Source organism: Homo sapiens, chromosome X (genome assembly GCF_000001405.40).
Source record: "Homo sapiens chromosome X, GRCh38.p14 Primary Assembly".
NCBI lineage: Eukaryota > Metazoa > Chordata > Mammalia > Primates > Hominidae > Homo > Homo sapiens.
In genome coordinates this window covers 35,916,739-35,930,174 of record NC_000023.11, presented here as the reverse complement: position 1 = coordinate 35,930,174, position 13,436 = coordinate 35,916,739, and the positions used below count along the sequence as shown (strand labels likewise).

Sequence of the window (13,436 nt, the reverse complement as noted above, 5' to 3'; positions counted from 1 at the left end):
ACAGAAAATGCATCTGACAAAATTTAACACTCCTTTATAATAAAAACTCTTAGCAATTTAGAATAGTTGGGAATTACTTCAACTTGATAAAGGCCATCCAAAAATACTGACAGCTAAAATCGTCAGGAAAGGATGTCTCACTGTTTTTTTTTGTTTGTTTGTTTTGTTTTGTTTTTTTGAGACAGTCTCACTCTGTCACCCAGGCTGAAGTGCATTGGCATGATTTCAGCTCACTGCAACCTCCACCTCCCAGGCTCAGGTGATTCTCGTGCCTCAGCCTTCCAAGTAGCTGAGATTACAAGTGTGCACCACCACGCCCAGCTAATTTTTGTATTTCTAGTAGAGACGAGGTTTCTCCATGTTGGCCAGGCTGGTCTCGAACTCCTGGCCTCAAGTGATCCGCCTGCCTCAGCCTCCCGAGGTGCTGGGATTACAAGCGTGAGCCACCAAGCCAGCTTCACCACTCTTACACAACATAATACTGAAAGTTATAGCCATGGAAATAAAGAAAGAAAAAAAGGTAAAAAGCATATGCTTTTGAATGGGAAAAAACACACAAACGAATTATCCCTGTCTACAGATGGCACGATTATCTACATATAAGATGGCAAGGAATCTAAAAAAACATACAAAAACCTCCTAAAAAGGGAGTTCAGCAAGGTCAGAGGATACAATGTCAACAAACAAAAATCAATCACTTCTCTGTATATAGCAACAAGGAATATGCAGTAACCAAAATTAAAAACACAATATTATTTGCAATCACTCCAAAGAAAATGAAATAGTTATACACTTAACAACACATGTAGAGAATCTCTGGGCTGAAAATTACAAAATAGTGATAAAAGAAATCAAAGAAGACCCAAATAAATGGAAAGACATAGCACATTCATGTTTGGGGAGAATTACTATAGTAAAGATGTCTATTTCCCTCAAATTGATCTATAAGCTAAGCTCAATTATTCTCAAAAGCCCAGCAAGTTATTTTTTTTTTGCAGGCTCAGAAAGATTATTCTAAAATTTACATGGAAAGGTAGAGATATTTTGATAACTAAACTAATGGTGACAAAGAAGAATAACACGTGAGGAATTATTCTACATGATATTAAGAATTACTATATAGCAAAGGTAATTAAGGTAGCATGATGTTGGCAAACGTATGGATACACAGATGAATGGAAAAAAAATGCAGAACACAGAAATAGACCAATGCAGATTATGTTGAAGTGATTTTTTTCAAGGGTACACAATTCAATGGAGGAAAATAGCTTTTTCAACAAATTTGGTCAGAGCAATTGAACATCTATAGGAAATAATTAGAACCTCAATGTAAATCACACTTTATACAAAAATTAACTCAAAATATATCATAGACTTAAATGTAAAACTTTAAAAGTTAAAAATAGAAGAAAATCTTCAACCATTATGATCAAGGATTAGGTAAAGAGTTCTTAGACTTAACACTAAAAGCAGTACTAATTAAAGGAAAATTGATAAATTGGACATCATTGAACGTTTAAAAAAAAAACCCTTTTGTTCTACAAAATACCCAGTTAAAAGGATGAAAAGTCAAACCTCAAACTGGGAGAACATATTTGCAAGCCACATAACCATCAAAAGACTTGTATCCAGAATATACAAAGAAATTGCAAAACTCAATAATAAAGAGCAATGTAATCATAAAATGAGAAAAACACATTAACAGAGATTTCACTAGAGAGGGTACTCAGATGGCAAAGAAGCACCTGAAAATATGTTGTCAACATCATTATTCATTGGGGAAATGCAAATTAAAACTATGGAGAGATTCCATTAAATATCTATCAGAATAGCTAAAATTTTTAAGTAGTGATGAAAGCAAAAAATACTGGCAAAGATACCGTAAAAGTGGATTACTCATGTATCACTCTTTGAAATGTAAAATGGTACAGGCGCTCTGAAAAGCAATTTGGGATTTTCTGTTAAACAAAATATGTAATTACTATATGACCCTACAATTACACTCATGAGCATTTATCCCAGAAAAAATAAAAACTTATGCTCAGACAATACTTGTACAGGAATATTAAAGCAGCTTATTTGTGATAGCTAAAAACTGGAATCTGTCCCTTTGTTCTTCAACAGGTCAATTGTTAAACAAATTGTGATATATATATATACATATATATATATATATAAAATAGAATACTACTCAGCAATAAAAAGGAGCAAAATATTGATACATTCAACAACTTGGCTGAATCTCTTGCAAGATTTTGCTACAAGAAATTTTGCTGCAAGAAAAAAACAGAAGGCTACATAGTGTGTGATTCGATTTATGTAATATATTTGAGATGACAAAAATTTGAGATGTAGAAGACAGATTAGCAGTATCCACAGTTTAGGGTTCGTGGGTGTGAGGCAGAAGGGAAGTAGATACAGTTGTAATAAAGCAACAGGAGGGACTTTCTTGTGGTATTGGAACTGTTCACTATCTTGACTGTGGTGGTGGATACAAGAACCTACGCAGGTGATAAAAAATGTGTAGAAATTAATAACACACATGCACACACACATACACACACACACACACACACACCTTCCTTCAACCCTGTCCATCACACCAAAAGAAGGGCAGTGCTCTTCTTATATTGCAACCATGGTGAGAAACAGGCTTCTGATGAGAGAGGGCATATACTCTGGAAACAAGAAAAAAATCTCTGTTTTCAAGGACAGAAGCATCTTCAACCTGTCTCTCCATACATACCACAAACAAGCAAATCTGAGTGCCAGTCATAGATATGTCAAAGTGCAGAATGCATACAAAATGGTTCTACTTAAACTGCAAAACACGAATTAAATATTTATACTGGGTTAATAGCTTGTTTTTTTCCTACCATGTGTCTACTGTTTGATTCCTATGCAAAAATGGGATGATGTGCTAAATCAGAACTTCTCAACAACACAAAGAAACAAAATAATTGAGGATCTAAATTTAGTTTATAGAAATGAAAAAGAAAGGGAATTTTTTTTTTTTTTTTGAGATAGGGTCTCACTTTGTCATCCAGGCTGGAGTGCAGTGGCGTGATCTCGGCTCGCTGTAGCCTCTACCTCTTGGGTTTAAGTGATCCTCTTGCCTCAGCCCTACAAGTAGCTGGGACTACAGTCATGCGCCACCACTCCCAGGTTTTTTTTTCTTTTTTTTGTATTTTTTGTAGAGGTGGGGTTTCACCATGTTGCCCAGGCTGGTCTCCAACTCCTGAGCTCAAGTGATCCACCCGCCTTGGCCTCCCAAAGTGCTACGTGCTAGGATTACAGGCATGAGCCACTGCACCCAGCCTGAATAGAAGGGAATTTTGTAAAAGGTATATATCTAATACCATGTAATCCGCAGAAAATATTCCAAATTAATTCTGTAGGTGGTGGGCAAATAGAGGCAAAAGAAAACACCTATGGAAACCACATTCTGCTGGGGAAAAGGAGGATCATATATGTATGTATATAAATAAAGAAACACTTTAAATTTTAACACTAACTTTGATAAATTTATGATGAACAGAAATATACTTTTTAATATTAAAAAACAACAAATGAATCATCATTCATCCTGGTTAAATAATTTGTAACAACCAAGTCAGTCACTTAGCTCTTTTTTATACTTACATCCATCCATATTTTTCAACCAGTCTCAGAAGAACAGCATTTTGATTTTTTTGACACCAAACATTTGCCTAATTTAAAATTTGGTGAAGTGAACCTGACAATACTTTAAAATTAAATTAAAATGTGAATACAAGTTTGCAAAAATTCAATTATTAATACATTCAATTGTTGAATGTCGTTTTTTAAATAAAAATAACAGAGAATGAGGTTTCATTTCTTACAAACACTACTATTTTCTAAAAATGTGTCCTTTAAGTTCAACTGTCAGGAAACTATGTCAGAAAAAATACAAAATATTACTTTGACCCTCATTTTTATTTAAAGAGTATTCAAAATGTCAGCATGAACTATGAAGATTACATACCCAATTAGAGGAATTTCTGTTGTTTTATTTTCTATTGAAATAAGTAGCCGGTCAAAAGTGTCTTCGTCTTTATCAGGATGATATTCCACCATAGCTGTCATCTGAAGGCCAGAAGCAAGTTCTTTATCCAGACTGGTCAACATCAGTTTGAACTTCAGTGGGAGAAAGAGAGTCAAATTATACATTTTAACTCCTTATAAAAAAAAAATACCATGGCTGGGCACAATGGCTCACGCCTGTAATCCCAGCACTTTGGGAGGTGGAGGCCAGCGAATCATGAGGTCAGGAGATCGAGACCATCCTGGCCAACATGGTGAAACCCCTTCTCTACTAAAATACAAAAAACTAGCCGGGCGTGGTGGTGTGCAGCTGTAGTCCCAGCTACTCAGGAGGCTGAGGCAGGGGAACTGTTTGAACCCAGAAGGTGGAGATTGCAGTGAGCCGAGGTCGTGCCATTGTACCCCAGCCTGGGTGACAGAGCAAGACTCGGTCTCAAAAAATAAATAAATAAATAACGTTAGCAACTATAGTTAGGAGTGTTATATTATTATCAAAATACAGGCTCTATTCCTGCCCTAATGCCAAAGACTTTCTAATTTTAATTTTATTTTTAATTGACAAATAATTGTATATATTCGTTGACTACAATATGATGTACTAATACAGGTATACATTGTGGAATGAGCAAATCAGGCTAATTAACATATCCATCACATCACTTATTTATTTGTACTGGGAACATTTAAAATCCATTCTTTTAGCAATTTTGAGATATACATTATTATTTTTTTTTTGAGATGGAGTCTCACTCTGTTGCTCAGGCTGGAGTGCAGTGGCGTGATCTCTGCTCACTGCAAGCTCCGCCCCCTGGGGTTCACGCCATTCTCCTGCCTCAGCCTCCCGAGTAGCTGGGATTACAGGCACCCGCCACCACGCCCAGCTAATTTTTTGTAATTTTTTAGTAGAGATGGGGTTTCACTGTGTTAGCCAGGATGGTCTCGATCTCCTGACCTCATGATCCACCTGTCTCGGCCTCCCAAAGTGCTGGGATTACAGGCGTGAGCCACGGCACCCAGCCATACAATACTTTATTATTAACTATAGTCACCTTGCTGTACAATAGATCACCGGAACTCATTCTTCCTGTTTAACTGAAACTTTGTACCCTTTGACCAACATTTTTCCTTTCTCTGCCCACCCCAACCCTCAGCCTTTGGTAACCACCATTCTACTCTCTACTTCTACGAGTCTGAATTTTTATATTTCACATGTAAGTGAGAGCAAGTGATATTTGTCTTATGTACCTAAAGGCAAAGACTTAATGCTCATGTTTTTACCTATCTGATTCTAAATATTTAAGATATGCTTTCAAGAGTACACAACTTGAATCTGACAATGCAGGTAGCTAAGAAACATATAAATGCCAATGGACTACTTTAAAAATATAAGATACTTATAGAACTAACGTGGCTTCTATTCTAAGAAGCTTAAAATCTGAATACAGAAAAAAGGAAGAACAACCTAATAAAAATGTTGCTCAATCATATACATACATAATATATACCCACATGCACGTGTGTATATATGCGCATATATACACATATATGCGCATATATACACATATAGGTGCACATATATGTGCATATATACACATATATGTGCACCTATATACACATATAGGTGCACATATATACACATATAGGTGCACCTATATACACATATAGGTGTACATATATACACATATGTGTGCATATACACATATGTGTGTGCATATATACACATATGTGTGCATATATGCACATATACATATATACACATATGCACACATATATGTACACATATACACATACATGTACATATATACATATGTGTACACATACATGTACATATACACATACATGTACACATACATGTCCATATGCACACATACATGTCCATATATACACATACATGCACACATACATGTCCATATATACACATACATGTACGCATACATGTACATATATACATATATGTACGCATACATGTACACATATACATATATGTACGCATACATGTACATATATACATATATGTACGCATACATGTACATATATACATATATGTGCGCATACATGTACATATACACATATATGTGCATATATATGTGCATATATATTTACACATATACACATATATGTACATATATACACATACATACACATATATGTACATATATACACATGTACATATATACACATATATATGTACATATATACACATGTACATATATACACATATATATGTACATATATACATATATGTACATATATATATACACACATATATATATATATACACTTTTTTTTTTCAGACGGATTCTCGTTCTGTCGCCAGGCTGGAGTGCAGTGGTGCAATCTCAGCTCACTGCAACCTCCACCTCCCAGGTTCAAGCAATTCTCCTGCCTCAGCCTCCTGAGTAGCTGGGACTACAGGTGTGCACCATCATGCCCAGCTAATTTCTGTATTTTTAATAGAGACGGGGTTTCACCATGTTGGCCAGGATGATCTCAATCTCTTGAACTCGTGATCTGCCCGCCTCGGCCTCCCAAAGTGCTGGGAATCACAGGCATGAGCCGTCGTGCCCAGCCCTCATATGTATATTTTATATGCTTTATCCATGGGAATTTGAGCTTCATAACTTGGAGGAAAAATAAAAGAAGAATACAACAAAGAGGATAAAAACACTTTTGTTCTAGTAAGACGTTTGCTAGATGCCAGGAAAAATATAAAGGGAGAAAAAAGAGAAATAATATCTATTATGCATTTATAATGTGTCAAGCATTTTACATGTATTATCTTATGTAAATACACTTCTACAGTCCTGTGAGGCTGATATTAAGGCTCTCAGTATATAGATGAGGGAACTGGGACATGTAAAGTATAATTAACGTCTGAAGTCACTCAGGAAGTGAAGACTCAAAAACATATCTATCTGACTCTAAATCATAAGCACTTCCTCCCCTTCAACTAGAAAGAGTCCCTCTCCTGAATACATAATCTCTTTAAGGAAGCAGACTACAAACCCCTTGAAAATTAAATATAAGCCAGGGACTAGTTAAGCACCATATGAGTGATAGAGACATAAGTGTCAAGAAAATCCATGAGAGGACATGATTATTGTGGGCTAGAAAGGAGTGTACCTGGCCTAGTCTTAGAGAATGGATATTAAAGGTGGAGAAGAAGCGAGGAAGGTGCTCATTATAGGTGTAAAAATATCTCAGACACAAGCAGAAACAAGAATAAGCAAAATAGTCTCTCAGAAAGCAGATAATAAGCCAGCCTCCCTGGGCAAGAGTCCTCAATCAGAAACAATGGAGGTTATGTTGAAAATGATTATTCAGGGATTCTAATGTGAGGCTGAGTCTAAATAGTGCTTTGCAGCAATTAAGGATATAGAGAAGTGGAGTGATTTGGAAGTAACACTGATCTGGGAGCTTCATGCTTTCAGCAAACAATGCTGATACCTCCTAACTACCACATTTGAACTCTCAACCCTCGTGCAATTTATAGAACAGAAGGAAAACAAGGGATACAATATTTTCCACATAAGCCTTTGGGTGTTGGAAGTCCACATATCAGGTTTGACTATCTTCTTGTAAGTAAGCTATAGTTTCAAGAAGGAAAACCAATACTTCAGAACCATGTGCTTTTGGTCAAACTGCATGTTGTTGAGCACTCTTAGTGAGATGCAAATGTGTGCAAGGCACCATCCCTACTCTTAGCAGTTTATGAGCTGAAAATGGAGGCAGTACTAACATTTAACAAGAGGCATAGGGACACAAATTCAAACTATAAGGAATGTCTGTAAATGAAAATGGTATCCAGTAAGACAGAAATAATTTGGGGATAAAATAATAACAGACTTCTTAGAGAAAATGAGAACTCACATTGACCTTAAAAGATGCATGGGATTTGGAAAGGGATGATTTTTGCAGATGACAGGGTATGAAAATGTGGGTGAGAAGAAAAAGAAGTCTGAGTCATAAGGGAGAGGGGGCAGGTATGAGTAAGGCTGGTCTGACCAGACCAGAGGCCACACAAGCCATAAAAACACTCTTAGATGGATAGTGTTCGTGAGATTGAAGGATGTTATTGAAAATCAGTAATAGTACTATCAATTATATTTTCTTTGAAGATAAAGTATGTGTCTTCTTATTTTTCTACCAGCAATCTATGACACATAGTGGGTATTCAATACATAGGGTCAATGCAGGTTCTTGAGTCTGGGTGAAAAACAAGCACTGCTGTATGTTAGAGGAATCATTTTCTGAGTGATTATAATAGTGATGATGACAATGCCCTTTCCACAGCACCTTGTTTTTACTTTTTCTTATCCCCCACCCCAACAAGATGCACTTTTCACTATTTATCTAATTCCCTTTATGAAGGATCAGGAGTGCATTTCATAGTCTTGCAACAAAGGAAAATTCACACTGATATTGGCTTCTAACTACTAAGCATATCTAGATGTTCTCTTGTCAATGTCAAGACTTGTGGAATGAATTGTTTTCCATTATATCCTAGATATAAACTGAAATAAAACCAATTATAATATTTTTCTTGTTACTGCACAGAAACCATCCATACAAGTGTCCCCTGAACATCCATAAAATAGTGGTTGTCCACATCCAAACATTATTACCACCAGCTTGTTTCAAAAGAAAGTATTTTCAGATACACAAGTAATTGTTCAATAAATATGTGCTAAGGTAGTGAAATAACACAGGCTTTCCTTAATTTTACAGTGTCTGGAGTAAGCAAGTACTTTTTGATTTAAAGAGGAGTTAATAGTCTCTTGAGATATACTTTTTAATAAAAATATTTAAATATGAAAATCATTAAAACCTGATTCCATTTATATGAAAGCCAAGGAGAGGCCAAACTAATCTACCATGTTAGAAATCAGAATAGTGGTCAGTTCCACAGGGTGATTACTCCAGGTACTGTAAGGAAGAAGCACTGGGGATCTTCTGGGGTAGTGAACATATTCTATTATTTGATCCAGGTGGTAGCTAATGGAGATTATCTATCTAGCTATCTATCTACACACACACATATTTATTTTTTTGTAAATTCATCAAACTTTACTTTTGAGATCTGTGCACTTTAGTAAGTAAATAATACATCGATTTTTTTAACAGAGCAAAAATTAGAACATGGAAGTCCTTTTTCTCATTGCTCTTCTAATCATTAACATAGGTTTTTCTACATATATACAAAGAAATATATGTAAATTTAATCTAAAATTACGGACATCTTTTTTTTCTGCACATATAGTCCAGCTGTATTCAACACTACTTTTTATTAGGAATATCTCTTGAAGTTTTCAGTTATTTATTGCTTACATTTCAAAAATTCTTATCGCATTTCCTATATCAAAAATTTGCCTGAGAAAATGTGATCATACTGAACTAATAACCATCCATTCACACACATGATGTAAAATAACACAGTGAGATACAGAGGAAATTCTGCCCACTTTAAATTAGAAGATAGAAACACCCTCTCAGAACATTAACTTTCTTGATGGTTAGATCTGTACTAAAACCCCCTCATTAGTTTCTAAGTTCTATGAGGGCAGGGCTGTGTCCATTCCGTATTCCTCATGTCTATTACCCGTTATATAGTAGGTGCTTAACAAATGTTTGTTAAAATATGAAATAATGAACCTTTCCACTAATCCTACAGTTCCTGGAGTTATCAGGCACTTTATGATTCAAAGGGCAGTTAATAGAGAATTTTGTTCTCATAATTCTTAAGGCAACAGCAAAATCATAAAACCAAGTTGCACAGATTTTGGGATTGTTAACAAGTTTCTAAACCCAGGTTGAAGAAATGGGGAGGCTCTAGGTCAGCTTTTCTCCACCCTGCCCTCCCCATCTCCTAATCCTAAACAAAACAGAAAACAAAGAGAAACAAAAAGAGCACACACACAGAAACCTGTCACTGTTTCCCGGGAAGCCCAATCCTCCCTCCATCCCGGCAGGAGCCAGATGACTACTCCCTGGGGCAAAGAGAGACGCAGTGTGAGGAGGCGCTCTCACAAGGTCCCGCTCCCAGCACCCCTTAGTGTGTCACCTGTGGCTTGACGGGCTCCTTAAATCGGATTTTCTGGTTCCAGCGGCAAATATTATGCACAGTAATCGGGAGGCGGTACACCCTCCCGGCCATCGTGTCCAGGAACTTCACCTCAGCCGGGATCACCCGCAGCTGCATGTCTCTACCCGAGCTATCCATATCCCGGGGGACGAGGGAACCCCTTTGGATGCTCATGGCGAGGGAACCTCTGTGGACGTTTATGGTGAGGGAACCCTTTTGGGTGTTCATGGCTGCCCTCTCGGTAGCCAGAAAACAGATGTGGATCCGTCCGGCCAAGGATTAGCGTCGACGACCGTCGCTAGGCAACCATCAGACGCCAAGCGCTAGTTTCAAGCCCTGCTCTCATTGGCGCCTCCCAACCCGCGCGAGTTGCTAACGCGAATAGAATAACCCTCAGGTCACAGGTGTTACCAGAGTAACTGAAAAACACGCTGTGGCAGCCCAAACGTCAGAGGCACCTCACTTTGCCATGGCCTGGCACGGTATTAAAATCACAGAGGCTTAGTGGGCATTTTCCTGGACCTCTCGTAAGACAAAGTTTAAAGTACCATGCATTTTAAAGAAATCTGCCCACAGATGCACTGTAAACTGGCCTTATAATTCAATTAAAATTTACATTTACAAAGAAAAAAAAGATCAGTGAAAGTGATGTGCCCACGTGGTCTATTAAGGCAGCAAGATATAACAGAAAGGGAGATATAACAAAGTCAGTGTCTCCTAGATGTCCTGCTCAGAGGTCTTTACGTCAGCGTTTCTGAATCAGAATGTTTCTTACAATAGCAAAATATTGGATTAATATGAATACCAATCAGTAGCGATGGATACAATAACTTACTGTTTATTTATGATGAATAATAACGTAGATCTGTGTTGACATAAGAGATATCCATTATACAGTATTAAATTTTAAAATTGACCAAACAATAAGAAATTGTGACACCTGTATCTTTTTAAATGCACACACACACACACACACACAATGTAAAAGCAATCCTCTGGGTCTTTTGTTAAAATGCAGATTCTGTTTCAGTATGTCTGAAGCAAGGTCTAAGTATCTGTATTTATGACAAGCAAGCTTCCAGGTGATTACAATGCTTCTGGTTCCGGGGCCACACATTGAATATAGAGGCTTTAGGAACCTTGTTAACTGTTCCAGGGTCCTCATTTGTGAAATGGTGTTGCTCAGGAGATAGAGATCACACGTCTTCGCTGCTAGATGAGGACTTTTCCAACAAACTCATATTCACATTGCCCAGTCCCTACTCTCTCCTCGTCCTTCTTCTGTTATCTCAGAGTTTCAAAATATACCACACGCTTTCATTTACTCCTTGCTACTGCACATTATGTTCACTCTGAGGAGAATGGCCTCTCCATCTGCCAGCCAAACAGTTAGTCATTCTTGAACAGTAAAACCTTTCCCACAACACTTTTACAAGGTTCTCACAGTACCAAGATGATAAAGAATTTCTTGCTTCATTTTCCACAAGGATGCAGAGATTAATAAGTAGTTCTAAATACAAAGACAAGTAGTCACATTTCTTGGAACTGCTGTCAATAGTTGAAAAACAGCAGAAGTGGTGATTATTATTTGTAAATTCTTAGGAATTGATAGATGCAAACCATCGACATTATCTTTCAAAATTCTATAGATCTTGGTTTAACAAGTGGGAGATGTGAATCATGGCTGGAATTTTTATACTAGTCGCTACTACCATATCACAATACAAATCCTGTCCATGTTCCTGAGCCCCTAAGCAGGACAATTTTACAGCATTGAAATAACAATAGTTCATATAACTTGACTGAATCAAGACCACAGCTCATACAAAGCCCCTCAATCAATTTCTGAAAAAATTGGAAACTGCGAAGAAGCCTCAAAACTCCCTAATTTTTTACTCTCAAGGATAAAAGCCAAGTCTGGACTTCTGTGTATAATCCAAAGATATGGCAATAAAAATCAAATGAAGAACAATTTTGTTTATCTGTTCTGTTGGTATTCTCATCAACAAAGGAGGAATGTCACATAGCTCTACAAGTTCAACAAGCCTAAAGCTCAATCCATTGTCCTTAGTAACTATACATAAACCTTCTTGGCTTCTTATATATTCTTTTATCCACTCAAACTATTAATTTTAGATGAAATAGTCTAATATTTGCATCACATGTTTAGCTCTAAACTCTCTTGTTCAGTTTCTATTTTCAAAGAATGGCCATATAAAGACTTTTTAATTTTTTCAATTTTTAATTTTTGTGGGTATATAGTAGGTGTATATATGTATGGGTTACATAAGATGGTTTGATACAGGCATGTAATGTGAAATAAGTACATCATGGAGAATGGGGTATCCATCACCTCAAGCATTTAGCTTTTGTGTTACAAACAATTCAATTACATTCTTTTAGTTATTTTTAAATGTACAATTAAGTAATTATTGGCTATAGTCAAGTCACCCTGTTGTGCTAGCAAACAGTAGGTCTTATTCATTCTTTTAAATGATTTTTTAATACACATTAAACATCCCCACCTCTCCCAGTGCCCCCCACTACCCTTCCCAGCCTCTGGAAATCATCCTTCTACTCTCTTTATGCATGAGTTCACTGTTTTGATTTTTAGATCCCATATATAAGTGAGAACATGCAATGTTTCTCTTTCTGTGCCTGGCTTATTTCACTTGACATAATGATCTCCAGTTCCATCCACATTGTTGCAAATGACAGGACCTCGTTCCTTTTTTTATGTCTGAATAGTTCTCCATTGTGTATATGTACCCCATTTTTCTTTTTTTATTATTATACTTTAAGTTTTAGGGTACATGTGCACAATGTGCAGGTTAGTTACATATGTATACATGTGCCATGCTGGTGCGCTGCACCCACTAACTCATCATCTGGCATTAGGTATATCTCCCAATGCTATCCCTCCCCCCTCCCCCCACCCCACAACAGGCCCCAGGGTGTGATGTTCCCCTTCCTGTGTCCATGTGTTCTCATTGTTCAATTCCCACCTATGAGTGAGAATATGCGGTGTTTGGTTTTTTGTTCTTGCGATAGTTTACTGAGAATGATGATTTCCAATTTCATCCATGTCCCTACAAAGGACATGAACTCATCATTTTTTATGGCTGCATAGTATTCCATGGTGTATATGTGCCACATTTTCTTAATCCAGTCTATCATTGTTGGACATTTGGGTTGGTTCCAAGTCTTTGCTATTGTGAATAATGCCCCATTTTTCTTTATCCATTTATCTGTTGATGGACACTTAGGTTGCTTTCAAGTCTTAGCTATG

At 36.9% G+C, this 13,436-nt stretch overlaps 1 protein-coding gene across 4 annotated transcripts in view; it reads right to left on the bottom strand.

Moving 5' to 3' along the window:
• The window catches only part of CFAP47 (cilia and flagella associated protein 47), a 465,584-nt gene extending 455,143 nt beyond the window's left edge, over positions 1–10,441 (bottom strand). For all 4 annotated transcript variants that reach the window (NM_001304548.2, XM_017029452.2, XM_017029453.2 and 1 more), the window contains exons 1-2: positions 10,127–10,441; positions 4,007–4,158 (exon numbers count right to left, since the gene is read on the bottom strand). In NM_001304548.2, the coding sequence (NP_001291477.1) occupies positions 4,007–4,158; positions 10,127–10,375 (401 nt within the window). In that variant the 5' untranslated portion in view covers positions 10,376–10,441. The remainder of the gene's footprint in view (positions 1–4,006; positions 4,159–10,126) is intronic.